Source organism: Homo sapiens, chromosome 2, assembly GCF_000001405.40.
Source record: "Homo sapiens chromosome 2, GRCh38.p14 Primary Assembly".
Classification (NCBI taxonomy): Eukaryota; Metazoa; Chordata; class Mammalia; order Primates; family Hominidae; genus Homo; species Homo sapiens.
This window is the reverse complement of record NC_000002.12, coordinates 156,226,519-156,243,343: the sequence shown is the minus strand read 5'-3', so window position 1 is coordinate 156,243,343 and position 16,825 is coordinate 156,226,519. Positions and strand designations below refer to the sequence as shown.

General features: G+C 34.8%; 1 long non-coding RNA gene across 2 annotated transcripts in view, besides 1 other annotated feature; it reads left to right on the top strand.

Annotated features, from left to right (window-relative positions):
• Positions 1–16,825, top strand: part of LINC01876 (long intergenic non-protein coding RNA 1876) — a 234,397-nt gene that overhangs the window by 11,588 nt on the left and 205,984 nt on the right. The gene's annotated exons all lie outside the window — the stretch shown is intronic.
• Positions 4,137–4,306: an enhancer, noted in NCBI's record as "experimental_53336 CRE fragment used in MPRA reporter constructs". NCBI's record gives its function as "activates a minimal promoter by MPRAs in K562 erythroleukemia cells, with activity observed for the non-introgressed 2:157095635 variant allele {active_cell/tissue: K562}" and the evidence as "EXISTENCE:reporter gene assay evidence [ECO:0000049][PMID:34662402]".

Genomic DNA, 16,825 nt, shown 5'->3' with positions numbered 1-16,825 from the left:
TTTAAATTAATTTGCTAACAATTTCTTCCTATTTTGTGCATTAGACATACCATAAAATTTATATAAAACTTGGGCATAAAAATAAAGATTTTAAGCTTTTCTTAATAAAGGAGCTCAGAAAATATTAAATATAATTTGATTTATTTTAAGAAGATTTAAAATAATCTATTGAATAAACTCTTTTGAGTACACACTCCATGCCAAGCCCTATACTAACTGCTAAGGGAGTAGAAGGATAAGTAAACTTGATATTTGCATGAATCATCTGGTATTTTCTGCAATGTTGTTTTTGTGAGAATGATCATCTTTAGGTTAGGCTAATGGTGAAATGAGTCAAGTTACAGAAGTCTCAAATTGGGTAGATTTGCTTTCAGAGGTATTGGGTAAATGTTTAGGTACTAGAAAGGAGATGGGGGATCGTAGGAAAGTACAAGTCTCTTAGAACACTCAGTTTTCAGAGTCAGAGTAGGGCTATCATTGGAACTAATTTTATTCTGATCTAGAGAATTACTGAGGGTATTTTTACATTGTACCTAGCTAGATCTAGGTTTAGTTACATAGCCTGGAATAGTCCAGTGTGTGATGATAAGTGTAAGTACTGGAAAGTACTATGTCTCTACAAGGATAAGGAGGAAGAGAGGCCAGGCATGGTGGCTCACACCTGTAATCCCAGCATTTTGGGAGGCTAAGGCGGGTGAATTGTTTGAGGCCAGGAGTTTGAGACCAGTCTGGCCAACATGGTGAAACACCATTCCTACTAAAACTATAAAAAATTAGCCAGGTGTGGTGGCATGCACCAGTAATCCCAGCTATGTGGGAGGCTGAGGCACGAGAATCGCTTGAACCCAGGAGGTGGAGGTTGCAGTGAGCCGAGATCATGCCACTGCACTTCAGCCTGGGCGACAAGCAAGACTCTGTCTCAAAAAAAAAAAAAAAAAAAATGGAGAAAGAGAGATAGAAATGTAGATAGATAAATAATAACTCACATAACTCAATAGCAAAATAATAATAATAATAAAAATAATAATCTGATTAAAAAATGGGTGAAAGACCAGAATAGGTATTTCTCAAAAGAAGACATACAAATGAACAACAGGTATATTCAAACAATGCCCAACATCACACACGTTCAGGGAAATGCAAATCAAAATCACAATGAGATATCATCTCACCTCAGCTAGAATAGCTATTATTAAATATCAAAAAGACAAAAAATAATATGCTGACAAGGATGTGGAGAAAGAAGAATGTTTATACACTATTGGTATGAATGTAAAGTAGTGCAGCCATGATGGAAAACAATATGAGAGTTCCTAAAAAACCAAAAGAACTACCATATGATCTAATAATTCTACGCTGGATATATATCCAAAAGAAAACAAATTGGTATAAGTAACAAACACATGTTTATTGCAGCACTATGCACGATAGCCAAGATATGGAATCAACCTAAGTGTCTCTTAATGGATGAAAGGATGAAGAAAATGTGTTATATAAACACAATGCAATATTAAAAAAGAATGAAATACTGTCATTTACAGTGACATAGATGGAACTAGAGGTCATTATGTCAAATAAATAAGCCAGGCACAGAAGGACAAATTTTTCTCACTCATATTTGGGAGCTAAAAAAATGGATCTTATGGGAGGTGGAGAGTAGAATGGTGGTTACCAGGAGCTGGGAAGGCAAGGGAGGAGGAGGGACAAAAAATTGGTTAAAAGGTACAAAAATACAGTTATATAGAAGGAATAAGTTCTAGTATTTGACAGTACAGTAGGAAAATTATAGCTAACAATAATTTATTGTATATATCAAAATAGGTAGAAGAATTGTAATATTCCCAACACAAAGAAAAGATAAATGTTTGAGTTGATGAAAAAGTCAATTACCTTGATTTGATCATTATACATTGTATACAGATATCAAAATATCACATATACACCAAAAATATGAACTATTAAATATCAATAGAAGAAGCAAATAATAAAACAAAAATAAATAAATAAATTCAAGCTAAATCTAAATTTTTTAAAAAAGAAATGTAGTTGGACTGTGAAAGATGGGGAATAACAAATTTTAAAAAATTGTCACAGGCAGAGTAATGCTCCCTGTAGAGGTCCACAACCTAATCCCAGGAATCTGTGAATATGTTACCTTACATTTAGGTTGCAGAGGAGATAACAAATCAGTTGACCTTGAGATAGGAAGATTATCCCAGATTATCCTGGTGAGTCCAATGTAATCACTAGACTCCTTATGTGGATTAAATGGAAAAGGAAAACAGAGTGAGATAACTGGAGGAATGGCAGTGTGCTGGCTTTCAAGATGGAAAAAGTTCATCAGCCAAGTAATATGGGTGGCCTCCAGAAGCTGGAAAAGGGAAGAAACAGATTCTTCCCAAGAGCCTGAATATGGAGAACAAAGCCCTGCCATCACCTTGGTTTTAACCCAACGATTTAGTGATTCTATAAAATACCTAGTATCATTCAATAAATTCCTTTTCTGCTTAAGTTAGTTAAAGAGGATTCTGTTGCTTTCAGCTAAGAACCCTGATCAAGAGAGGGGTCAAATGAGAAAACAATACAGAATTAACTTTTAAAAGGTGAGTAAAATAATTTTCAGTAGAATTAAAGGATCAATTTCAGACTTCTGACCTCCAGCACTAGAAGATAATACATTTGGGTCAAGTCACTAAGTCAGTGGTCATTTGTTATAGCAGCCATAGGATACCACACTATGGAAGTCAAATTCTGTGAGCTTCATTTTTCTCAAATCCAAAAGAGAGTCTTAATACTCACTTCCTAAACAACAATATCAAAATCTGATTGCAAAACTTATATGATGTAATGTATTTGAAGTATTTAGCACATGGCTAAACAACTATGAAATGTTTAGTCAGTATCATTATGGTATGCAGCTCTTCATGTTGGAAAGAGGTTCAGAATCACTTCCTTTAACATCTTTCTATTATATCTTATTCTCAGAGAGAGTTTTTAACCTATGCACTGATGCTATTGAAAAATCAGCCCACAGTTTACAAATCATTTTAGATAGCATTTAACAGAGTTCCGCATCAGAAGCAAATATCTAAGGTGCAGAGTTGTGAAATAGAACAGAAGTTGACAGCTTAGACTGAAAACTGGCTAAGGGCAGAAGTTAAGGGTAGAAGTAAATGGAAACATTTCAAGCAGGACAAAGAATACCTTGGGGAAGAAGATTAAAACAAAATCACTAAAACACATAGTGTTTGTTTGATGTCTGGTGCTGTTTATTTGATGCCCAAGATGATCCTATGAAGTAGGTATTTAACTATCTCCATTTTGTACAAAAGTTAAATGAGACAATTAATGTGACCAAGTCACACAACTAGTAAGAGGCAAAGCTGAAATTCGAGTCTGGACAGCCTGACTTCAGAATTTATGCTCTTTATCTTTAAGCTCAAGTGATATTGCAATATCTGAAACATATTTTCCAATTCTATGCCCTAAAGGGCTCTTAATCTAAATACAATATTATTAATTTAAAACCAGCAGAAAAATGTAGAAAAAAATGGATATTTGGCTCAAAATAACTTGTGGGCATTTGTTCTCTATGTGATTGCCATCCTTTGTATATTTGGGAGAAATTCCAGTGTTACGAGTTGTGCCCTCTGATGTGAAACTCAGAACCCAAATTCTTAGGCTCTGTCATTGCTGGAGAGTAAGCACATGATGTGCACGAGTCTTTAATTTGGAGAAAATAAACATTTCACGGAGTTTCTGTTTGGTTGGTATCTGGCACTGACTCCCAGATCAATTTTGTGATGCAGGCATGGCATCAGTGCAGGAGGCAGTAATGATGGCTGTAAAGTAAATCTGGGCCTGGTACTTGGTGGTAGTAACAGAAGTTGTGTTGGTACAGTTTCTTACAGTTGTCTGGCATGATTTGGGCCTTTATTATTCTTGGAAGTTTAGTCTCAAGTCTGTTTCCCCAGCTCTGTCAACAATTCTATAAAATACCTAGTATCATTCAATAAATTCCTTTTCTGCTGAAGTTAGTTAAAGAGGATTCTGTTGCTTTCAGCTAAGAACCCTGACCAAGAGAGGGGTCAAATGAGAAAACAATACAGAATTAACTTTTAAAAAGTGAGTAAAATAATTTTCAATAGAATTAAAGGATCAATATACATAATTAAACAATGAAAAAGAAATAAAAGTTAATATATTTATCCAATCTCTCACTGTAAAATAGTTTTGGGTTAAAATAATTATATGAATTAGAGAAAAGAGTGATAGGTTACACTATATTTAAATATATTATGTCTCAAAATAAAAAGATTACAAATAGCCAATGGAATTCTCATAGCAACAAGATACATGGAGATTTGCTGTCTCTACCACATATATAGATAATAAATGCATTAAGATCATAAATATAAATGGACAGAGACCATAAACATATGGAAATAATAAAACATGAAAAACCTTTAACCTTATCAGTAAACAAATGAAAATTAGAAAAACTGTAGGCTTTTTTAAAAACCTATGATTAACAAACATTAAAAAAAATGATTATAATGTTGGTGAAGGCAAAGCGAAATGCTGGTGAATTTTTATAATTTCTATAAAATGATATAATGCTTTTAGAAAATTATGTGGTACCATGCATAAATACTTTAAAATATTTATGATTTTTGAGCTAATAATCCCATTTTTAGGGATCTAGGCTAAGATAACAATCACAAATACAGAAAAGATTCATCCATAGAGAAGTATACCTTGGTTTAGTATAAATTAGAATTGACCTAAATGTTAAAAATAAAGGGTGAGTTAAGTGTCCTCTGGTACATTTAATAGATGAAATATTAGTTGTCTTTAAATTTGTCATTATGAATAATTTATAGTTAGTAAAATTTTTAATAATATAATAAAATTTAAAAAGTCACAACATTTTACAGTATGATTATATACATGTATTTAAAATACCCCCAAATTCACATAGAAGCATCTACCTAACGGAGCACATACCGTATCTCTTTTTGAGTCCTAGATTTCATTAAAACAATAGAGGACATAAGAGTAATACATTCACATTACAACACAGAAAAGGGAGACATCAAATGCTCAGAAGATGCCAGGTCCAGAGATTTTTTTGGTTCAAATATATCAAACCTTCAAGAAATAGATATTGTCCATGGTATTTGAATTGTTCTAGTCACAGAAAAAAAGAGGTGTTACTGAATCATTTTAAGAAGTCAGTATAACTAGAGGAACAAAATTGGAAAAGGACAGTGCAAAGAAATAATTTATAGATTGCTATGGGTTGAATTCTGTCCTTCCAAATTCATATGTTGAAGCCCTGACTCCCAGTGACTCAGAATGTGGCTGTCTGAAGGTAAAACCTTTAAAAAGGCAATTAAGCTAGAATGAGGCCGATTAGGGTGGCCCCTAATTTGATCTGACTGGTGCTATGGGAAAAGGAAATTTGGACACAGAGAGAGAGAGACACTGGGGGATGTACACAGAGGAAAGACTATGCGAGGACACAGTGAGAAGACAGCCATTTGGAAGCCAAATGGTGAGGCCTGGGAAGAAACCAAACCTGCTGACACCTAGATCTTGGATTTTCAACCTCCAGAACTTTGAGAAAATAAATGTCTCTAGTGTAGGCTGCCTATGTATTAGTTTTCTGGAGTGGCCATAACAAAATACTACAGTATTTTGAAATCAGTAAGTGTGAGTTCTCTAACTTTGTTCTTTTTCAAAATTGTTATGTCTAGTCTGGGTTTTTTAGTTTCCATGTGAATTTTAGGACAATTTTGAGAAAAGGTTAGCTGTGATTTTGATAAGGATTCTGTTGAATCTGTAGATAAATTTGAAGACTATTGCCATTTTTCATTGCCAGTATATAAATGTAGTATCCCACTACAGTATTTTGTTATGGCTGCTCCAGGAAACTAATACATAGATTTATTTCATTTTCAAAATTAGATGCAAAATTTCTAGATAGAATATTTTCAAACTTAATTTGGGTCTGTATTTAGAGAATAATTTGTCATAAACATTAGGGATTTGTTTTAGTAACACCAGGATAATTCAACAATAGGAGTTCCATTAATGCAATACTCTAAAAAACAACAGCTTCGTTGAATAGTTTTTTAATAATAACAGCTTTATTGAGATATAAAAAAACCATAAAATCCAATTTTGTAACCATCATCACAATTAACTGTAGAACATTTCTGTTACCCCATACCTATTAGCAGCCTCTCTTCTTTCTGCTAGCCACCCAGCCTCTAGCCACCACTACTCTATTTTCTCTTTATATGGATTTTCCTATTCTGGACATTTCATGTGAATAGAATCATAAAATGTTTTTGTGACAGGCTTCTTTCATTTAGCAGAATATTTCGAGGTTCATCCATATTGTAGGATGTGCCAATTTTTCATTCTTTTTTATTACCAAATAATATTCCACTGTATGGATACTACCTTTTGTTTATCCATTCATCAGTTGGTGGAAATTTGGGTTGCTCATACTTTTTGGCAACTGTGAATAATACTGCTATAAACACTTAGGCACAAGTTTATGTGTGAACATGTGTTTTCTGTTGGATAGATACCTAGGAGTAGAATTCCTGGATCGTATGGTAACTTTACATTTAACTGAAGAACTGCCATACTGTTTTCCAAAGTGGCTAAACCATTATACATTCCCATCAGCAATACACAAAGGTTCCAATTACTCCACATACTTGCAAACACTTGTTATTGTTTGTCTTGTTGATTACAGCCATTCTAGTGAGTGTGAAGTGATATATTCTTTATTTTTATTTTTATTATATTAAAAAATTATTTTATTTTATTTTTGTGATGGAGTCTTGCTCTGTCACCTGGGCTGGAGTGCAGTGGCATGATCTTGGCTCACTGCAACCTCTGCCTCCCACGTTCAGGCAATTCTCCTGCCTCAGCCTCTCGAGAAGCTGGGACTACAGGCACATGCCACCACGCCTAGCTAATTTTTGTATTTTTAGTAGAGACAGAGTTTCACCATGTTGGCTGGGCTGGTCTTGAACTATTGACTTCAGGTGATCTGCCCACCTCAGCCTTCCAAAGTGCTAGGATTACAGGCATGAGCCACTGCACCCGGCTGAAGTGATATATTCTCATGGTTTTAATTTTCGTTTCCTTAATGACTTTGGTATTAAGTATCTTTTCATGTGCTTCTTGGCCACTTGTGTATCCTTTTTTGGGAGAAACATCTATTCAAGTTGTTTGCCTATTTTTAATTGAGCTATTTGTCTTTATGTCGTTGAGTTCTAAGAGTAATTTATATATTGGGTTGGTGCAAAAGTTATTGTAGTTTTAGCCATTTTTTTTCCCAGTGGCAAAAACCACAATTACTTTTGCACCAACCTAGTATTATGGAATTAAGTTCCTTGTAAGAAATATTATTTAACGATATATTCTGCCATTGTGGGTTGTCTTTTTACTTTTTAAAAATTATTATTTCAATAGGTTTTAGGTAACAGGTGGTGTTTGGTATATGAATAAGTTTTTTAGTGGTGATTTCTGAGATTTTGGTGCATTCATCACCTGAGCAGTGTACACTGTACCCAATGTCTAGATTTTTATCTCTCACACCCCTCCTACCCTTCCCCCAGAGTCCATTATATAATTCTTATGTCTTTTCATCCTCATAGCTTAGCTCTCACTTATAAGTGATGTTTGTTTTTCCATTCCTGAGTTACTTCGCTTAGAATAATGGTCTTCAACACCATCCAGGTTGCTGCAAATGCCATGATTTTGTTCCTTTTTATGGCTGAGAAGTATTCCATGGTATATATATATATATACCACATCTTCTTTATCCACTCATTGGTTGAGGGGGATTTAGGCTGGTTCCATATTTTTGCAATTGCGAATTATGCTGCTATAAACATGCATGTGCAAGTGTCTTTTTCGTGTATGGACTTCATTTCCTCTGGGTGGAATTGCTGGATCAAATGGTGTTCTACTATTAATTCTTTAAGGAGTCTTCATACTGTTTTCCATAGTGGTTGTACTAGTGTACAACTAGTGTCCCACCGGCAGTGTAAAAGTGTTCCCTTTTCACCACATCCACACCAACATCTATTTTTTTTAAATTTTAAAATTATGACCATTTTTGCAGGAGTAAGGTAGTATCCCATTGTGGTTTTGATTTGTATTTCCCTGATCATTAGTGATGGTGAACATTTTTTCATATGTTTATTGGCCATTTGTACATCTTCTTTTGAGAATTTTCTGTTCATGTCCTTAGCCCACTTTTTGATAGGATTTTTTTTTTCTTGCTGAATTGTTTGAGTTTCTTGTAGATTCTGGATATTAGTTCTTTAATGCATAGTTTGCAAATATTTTCTCCCACTCTGTGGGTTGTCTGTTTATTCTGTTGATTATTTCTTTTGCTGTGCAGAAGCTTTTTAGTTTAATTAAGTCCCATCTGTTTATTTTTATTTTGTTGCATTTGCTTTTGGGTTCTTGGTCGTGAACTCTTTGCCTAAGCCAATGTCTAGAAAAGTTTCTTCTGATGTTATCTTCTAGAATTTTAATAGTCTCAGGTCTTAGATTTAAGTCTTTGATCAATCTTGAGTTGGTTTTTGTATAAGGTGAGAGAGGAAGATCCAGTTTCATTCTTCTACATGTGGCTTGCCAATTATCCTAGCACCATTTTTGAATAGGATGTCCTTTCCCCACTTTTTGTTTTGGTTTGCTTTGTCAAAGATCACTTGGCTGTAAGTACGTGAGTTTATTTCTGAGTTCTCTATTCTGTTCCATTGGTCTATGTGTCTATTTTTATACCAGTCATGTGCTGCTTTGGTAACTCTGGACTTGTAGTATAGTTTGAAGTTGGGTAATGTGATGCTTCCAGGTTTGTTCTTTTTGCTTAGTCTTTCTTTGGCTATGTGGACTCTTTTTTTTGTTTCATATGACTTTTAGGATTGTTTTTTTCTAGTTCTGTGAAGAATGGTGATGGTATTTTGATGAGCATTATATTGAATTTGTAGATTTTTTTGGCCCTATGGTGATTGTCATGATATTGATTCTTCCCATCCATGAGCATGGGATGTGTTTCCATTTGTTTATGTCATCTTTGATTTCTTTGAGCAGTGGTTTGTAGCTTTCCTTGTAGAGTTCTTTCACCTCCTTGGTTAGGGATATTCCTAAGTATTTTATCTTTTTTTTTTTTTTTCAGCTATTGTAAAAGTGGTTGAGTTCTTGATTTGACTCTCAGCTTGGTCATTGTTGGTGTATAGCAGGGTTACTGATTTTTGTACATTGATTTCGTATCCTGAAACTTTACTGAATCAATTTATCAGATCTAGGAGCTCTTTGGATGAGTCTTTAGGGTTTTCCAGGTATACAATCGTACTACTGACAATAGTTTGAATTCCTCTTTACTGATTTGGATCCCCTTTATGTCTTTCTTGTGTCTGATTGCTCTGGCTAGGACTTCCAGTAGTGTGTTGAATAGAAATGGTGAAAGTGGGCATCCTTGTCTTATTCCAGTTTTTGAGGGAATGCTTTCAACTTTTCCCCATTCAGTATAATGTTGGCTGAGGGTTTGTCATAGATGGCTTTTATTACCTTAAAGTATATCCCTTGTATGCTAATTTTGCTGAGAGTTTTAAGCATAAAGGGATGCTGGATTTTGTCAAATGCTTTTACTGCATCTATTGAGATGATTATGTGATTTTGATTTTTAATTTTGTTTACAAGATGTATCACATTTATTGACTTGCTTATGTTAAATTATGTGGTATATCACATTTATTGACTTGTGTATGTTAAACCAACCCTGCATCCTTGGTATAAAACCCACTTGATCGTGGTGGGTTATCTTTTTGATATGCTGTTGGATTTGGATATTTAGTATTTTGTTGAGGATTTTAGCATCTATATTCATCAGAGATATTGGTCTGTAGTTTTCTTTTTTTGTTATGTCATTTCCTGGTTTTGGTATTAGGCTGATACTGGTTTTATAGAATGATTTAGGGAGGATTCCCTCTTTCTCTATCCTTTTGAATAGTTTCAACAGGATTGGTACCAATTTTTCTTTGAATGTCTGATATAATTCATCTGTGAATCCATCTGGTTCTGTACTTTTTTTGTTGTTGGCAATTTTTTATTATGGTTTCAATCTCACTACTTGTTATTGGTCTGCTCAGAGTTTCTAATTCTTCCTGGTTCAATCTAGGAGGGTTGTAAGTTTCCAATAATTTATCCATCTCCTCTAGGTTTTCTAGTATGTACACACAAAGGTGTTCATAGTGGCCTTGAATGATCTTTTGTATTTTTGTTGTATCAGTTGTAATATCTCCTATTTCATTTCTAATTGAACTTATTTCGATCTTTTCTTTTCTTGGTTAATTTTGTTAATTGTCAAATTTTGTTTATCTTTTCAAAGAAACAGCTTTTGGTTTCATTTATTTTTTTGTTTCAATTTTATTTAATTCTGTTTTGATTTTTGTTATGTTTTTTCTTCTGCTGAGTTTGGGTTTGGTTTGTTCTTGTTTCTCTAGTGCATTGGAGTTTGAGCTTAGATTGTCTGTTTGTGCTCTTTCAAAGTTTTGAATATAGACACTTAATGCTAAGACCTTTCCTCTTAGCACCTTTTTTGGTTGTATCTCAAAGGTTTTGATAGGTTTTGTCACTATTATTGTTCAGGTAAAATAATTTTTTAATTTCAATCTTGATTTCATTGTTGACCCAAAGATCATTCAGGAGCAGATTATTTAATTTCCATGTGTCTGTATAGTTTTGAGGGTTCCTTTTGGAGTTAATTTCCAATTTTATTCTCACTGTGGTCTGAGAGAGTACTTGATATCATTTCAATTTTCTTAAATTTATTGAGATTTGTTTTGTGGTCTATCATATGGTCTATCTTGCAGAATGTTCTATATGCTGATGAAAAGAATGTGTGTTCTGCAGTTGTTGGGGAAACTGTTCAATAAATATCTGTTAAGTTGATTTTTCTAGGGTATAGTTTGAGTCTATTGTTTCTTTGTTGACTTTTTGTCTTGATGACCAGTCTAGTGCTGTCAGTGGAGTACTGAGGTCCCCCACTATTATTGTGTTGCTGTCTATCTTATTTCTTAGGTCTAGTAGTAACTGTTTTATAAATTTGGATGCTCTAGTGTTAGGTGCATATATATTTAGGATTGTGATATTTTCCTGTTGAACTAGTCCTTTTATCATTATATAATGTCCCTCCTTGTCTTTTTTAACTGCTGTTGCTTGAAAGTCTGTTTTGTCTACTATAAAAATAGGTAGTCCTGCTTGCTTTTGATGTCCATTTGCATGGACTATGTTTTCCACCCCTTTACCTTAAGTTTATGTGAGTCCCTATTTGTTAGGTGAATCTCTTGAAGACAGCAGATATTTGGTTGGTGAATTCTTATTTATTCTGCCATTCTGTATCTTTTAAGTGGAGCATTAGGCCATTGACATTAAATGTTAGTATTGAAATGTGAGGTACTGTTCTATTCATTGTGCTAGTTGTTGCCTGAATATCTTTTTTTTAATTGTGTTATTGTTTTATAGGCCATGTGAGATTCATCCTTTAAGGAGGTTCTATTTTGGTGTACTTTGAGGTTGTGTTTCAAGATTTAGAACTCCTTTTAGCATTTCTTGTAGTGATGGCTTGGTAGTTGCAAATTCTCTCAGCACTTGTTTGTCTGAAAAAGACTTTATCTCTCTTTCATTTATGAAGCTTAGTTTTGCTGGGTACAAAATTATTTGCTGAAAATTATTTTGCTTAAGGAGGCTAACAATAGGACCCCATTCCCTTCAGGCCTCAGTAGGGTTTCTGCTGAGAAATCTGCTGTTAATCTGATAGGTTTTCCTTTATAGGTTGTCTGATGCTTTTGCCTCACAGCTCTTAAGATGGTTTCCTTTGTCTTGACTTTAGATAACCTGGTGACTATGTATCTAGATGATGACCTTTTTGCAATTAATTTCCTGTGTGGTTTTTGAACTTCTTGTATTTGGATGTTTAGATCTCTAGCAAGACCGGGGATGTTTTCCTAGATTATTTGCTCAAATAAGTTTTCCAGAGTTTTAGATTTCTCTTCTTCCTCAGGAATATCAATTATTCTTATGTGTGGTCATTTAACATAATCCCAAATTTCTTGAAGGCTTTATTCATTTTTTAAAATTCTTTTTTCTTTGTTGGATTGGGTTAATTAGAAAGCCTTGTCTTCAAGCTATGAAGTTCTTTCTTCTACTTGTTCTAGTTTATTGTTGAAACTTTCCAGTGTATTTTGTATTTCTCTAAGTGTGTCTTTCATTTCCAGAAGTTGTGATTGTTTTTTCTTTATGATATCTATTTCTCTGGAGACTTTTTCATCCATAGCCTGTATTTTAAAAAATTGTATTAAGTTGGTTTTCACCTTTCTCTGGTACCTCCTTGAATAGCTTAATAATCAACCTTCTGAATTGTTTATCTGGCAATTCAGAGATTTCTTCTTGGTTTGGATTCATTGCTCTAGTGTGATCTTTTGTGAATGTTATAGAATCTTGTTTTGTCACATTATCATACTTCCGTTTCTGGTTCCTTCCCCTTTGGGTAGACTGTTTCAGTGGAAAGATCTGGGACTGAAGGGCTGCTGTCCAGATTTTTTTGTTCCATGTGGCAATCCCTTGATGTGGTGCTCTTCCTCTTCCCCTGGGGATGGGGCTTCCTGAGAGCTGAACAGCAGTGATTGTGTTCACCGTTCTGTCTAGCCAGTCAGTGGGGCTACTGGGCTCTGAGCTGGTGCTGGGAATGTCTTCAAAGAGTCCTGTGATGTTACCCATTTTCAGGATTCCCAGTTATGGATTCCAGCACCTGCTCTAATAGATATGGCAGAAAAGTGACATGGACTCTGTGGAAGTCCTTGGTTGCAGTTTTGTTTAGGGCACTGGTTTTCTGAAATGCTGGTTATGCTAGCAGTGAAGTTGTCATGGGGACAGACTCAGGATCTCTGGTTAGCCAGGATGTTGCAGGTCATGGATTTAGCTGTTATTTTCTCCTTCTTTGGAGCACAGTTGTTCTGTTGTGAGTTGCCATAATGGTTTGAGTTAGTTGGGCCTCAGCCAGGAGGTGGGACTTTCAAGAGAACACCAGCTGTGGTAGTAGAAGGGGGTTGTAAGTTTGCCCTGTGTTGGCTAGGATAAGTATTTAGGTTTCTCAGGCAATGGGGTGGGGCCATAGAGCTCCCAAGAGTTTGTCTTTTGTCTTTGGCTACTGGTGGGTAGAGAAAAAACATCAAATGGGGGCGGGTTTAGGCATATTTGAGGTCAGATTCTTCTTGGGCAGGGCTTGCTGCAGTCTCTGTGAGGGATGAGGAGGTGGGTCTCAGGCCAGTGGAGTTATGTCATAAGGAGGATTATGCCTGCCTCTGCTGCATCATACAGATCACCAGGAAAGTGAGGGAAAGTCATTAGTCACAGGTCTCATCCAGCTCTCATGTAGCCAGCTAGGCTAGTCTCACTCCCACTGTGCCCTGCCAACAGCACCAAATTTATATCCAGGCAGCTGGAGTGTAGGGCTGAGATCTTGCCCCAGGCTACAAGCCTCTCTGCTGAGGAAGCAAGCAGGGGTCTCAGACCCTGCCCCTTCCTTCCTGTTCGTGCCTTTGGCTGTTGCTTCTGTACTCATACTTGCACTTCTCCTTCGCACCCCACCCATAGATTCTGCTCAGGAAAATTCATGCTCAGTCAAAATTATTACAAAGTTTAGCTAGAAGCTTCCTTCACCCTGTGACCCCTCCCCAGTTCTTCTGGCTGCCTTCTCCAAGGACCCCTGTGAGATATTGCCTGGGATTGCTTCCCTGGGCTCAAGCTGGGGACTTGGGAGTGCCTATGGGCTCTTTCTGCTGGCTTTTCTACTTTTGTGTTTTGCTTGGCTCCCTAAATCCATTTCACCTCTAGGTAAGGTTAAGTCCTTCTCCTGTGATCTGGATTTTCAGGTTCCCCAGTGGGGATGTGTTCTGCAGACTGTTTCCCCTCTCACACTTCGGGGACTCACAGTTTTTTGGCTGTCTCAGAGTTTCCAGTGGCAAGCCACTTATTTCAAAGGGTCCGTGAATTATTTTGGTTTTCCTAATATGTTCCTGTGGTGGTTCTTAGAGGAAAAATTCATGATGTGAACCTTCATACACTGTTCTGTCCATCCAAGTGGGAGCTGCATGTTAGTCCTGTCTCCTGTCTGCCATTTTCCTGGTTACCACCTCTTTTTACTTTCCTGATTGTCCTTAACAGCATGAAAGTTTTAAAATGTTGATGGAGTCCAATTTGTCTCTTTTTTTTGTGCTTTGGTGTCACATCTAAGAAACCATTGTCTAAATCAAAGTCATGAAGATTTATTCCTATGTTTTGGCTAAGAGATTTGTAGTTATTTATCTCTTATTTTTAAGCTTCTGACCTATTTCCCATTATTTTTTGTGTACCATATGAAGTACAGGTCCAATTTTATCCTTTTGGATACAGATAACCTGGTATCCCTCCACTATTTGTTGGCAAAGCTATTCTTTCCCTATTGAATTGTCCTGACATTTTTGCTAAAAATCAAATGGCCATAAATATAGAGTCTATATCTGAAATCTCAGTTCTATCCCATTGATTTGTATGTCTATATTTATGCCAGTGCCATATAATTACTGTAGTTTTGTATTATGTTTTGAAATTGGTAAGTGTGAGTTCTTCAACGTAGTTCTTCTTTTTCAATATTGTTTTGGTAAATCTGGGAACCATGAGTTTCCATATGAATCTTAGGATAATTTTGTGAAAAGTCTAGCTGGGATTTTGATAAGGGTTCTGTTAAATCTGTAGACAAATTTGGAGAATACTGCCATTGTTCATTGCTAATATATATAAATGTAATATCCCACTACCTTGATGATCTAATTTACTAATAATATAATTTAAAAAAATAAAATAATTTGGATTTTCTACATGGACAGCATGTCATTTGCAAATAGAAGCGGTTTTATTTCTTATTTTCAACATATATGGCTTTTATTATGTTTTTATCTTATATTCTTTGCCTATTCACCTTGCTAGAATTTCCAGTATTACGCCAAATAGTAGTGCTGAAATTGAACCTTCTTTTCTTCTCAATATTGTAGGGAAAGCATTTAGTTTTTCACCATAAATATGATGTTAGGTATAGATTTTTTTATTTAGTATTCTTTACCAAGTTTAGAACATTTTTCTCCTGATTCTCTGAGAATTTTTATCATAATGGGGATTAGATTTTGCCAAATATTTTTTTCTATATCAATTTATATGATCATGTTATTTTTCTTCTTTAACTTGTTAATATTGTGTTTTATATAGGTTGATTTTTGAGTAGTGAACCAGCTTTGCATTCCTGGGTAAGTGTCACTTAGTTATGGTATATTATTATTTTTATATATTGTTGAAATCCATTTGCTAGAGTTTTGTTAAGAAGTTTTGCATCTGTATTCATGCAGGATAGTGATCTGTAGTTTTCTTTTAAAATGTTTTATTTTATTTGTCTGATTTTGTTATCATGCTAATAGTGGTTTTATAGAATGAGTTGGGAAGTGTTTCCTCTTCTACTTTCTGGAAGAGATTATATAGAATTGGTGTTAATTCTTCTTTAAACATTTGGGAGAATTTTCCATTGAAATCCTCATCTTTTTTGAGGAGGTTTTAAAAAATTATTAATGGAATTTTCTTAATTATAGGGCAACTCATATATTTCACACATGGTGAGTTTTGGTAGTTTACATTTTGGGGGAATTAGTTTTTTATCTTTATTACTTCCTTCCTTCTGCTTGTTTTTGATTTATTTTGATCTTCTTTATCTAGGTTTTTGATATTGGAACTTAAATAATTTATTTATGTTATAAACGGCCCTGCTTTAGCACTGCTTTACTACATCCCAGTTTTGATATACTGTATTCTAATTTTCTTTCATTTCAGTGTATTTTTAAATTTGGTTGAGAATTCCACTTCGACCTACAAATTATTTAGAAGACTATGTTTAGTTTCCAATACTTGTAGATTTCCTGGTTATCTTTCTGTTATTGATTTCTAGTGTGATTCTATCATGGGCATAATACACACTGTATGTGACTTAAATTACATGAAATTTGTTTTGTGGCCCATGATATAGACTATCTTGGTATACGTTCTGAGTGCTTGGTAATAATTTGTATTCTGCTATTTTTTAGTGTAATATTCTATAAGTGTTAATTCGATTCTTTGGTTGAGTTCTTTTATATCCTTCCTGATTTTCTGCATAGTTGGTCCATCAATTGTTGGTAGATGGGTGTTGAAGTCTATGACTATAATTGTGGATTTAAATATTTCTCTTTTCAGTTCTATCAGTTTTTACTTCAGATATTTTGTAGCTGTCATTTAGATTGTGATGACTTCTTGGCCAATTGACCCTTTTATTATTACCCAATGTCCAGCTCATATCATCTGCAAACAAAGATAATTTGACTTTCTCCTTTTCAATTTGGATGTCCTTTATTTCTTTCACTTGTCTGATTGCTGTAGATGGGACTTCCAGTACTATGTTGAATAATAGTGAAGAAAGTGAGTATCCTTGTTATGTTCCAGGTCTTAGAGAAAAGCTTTCAATTTTTCCCCATGCCATATGATACTAGCTGTGGGTCTGTTATAAATGGCTTTTATTATGTTGAGGTACATCCCTTCTATACCCAGTTTTTCGAGAGTTTCTATTATGAAGTGGTGTTAAAGTTTATTAAATGCTTTTTTCAGCATGAATTGAAATGATAATAAGGTTTTTGTTCTTCATTCTTCTGATGTGATAATTCACATTGATTGA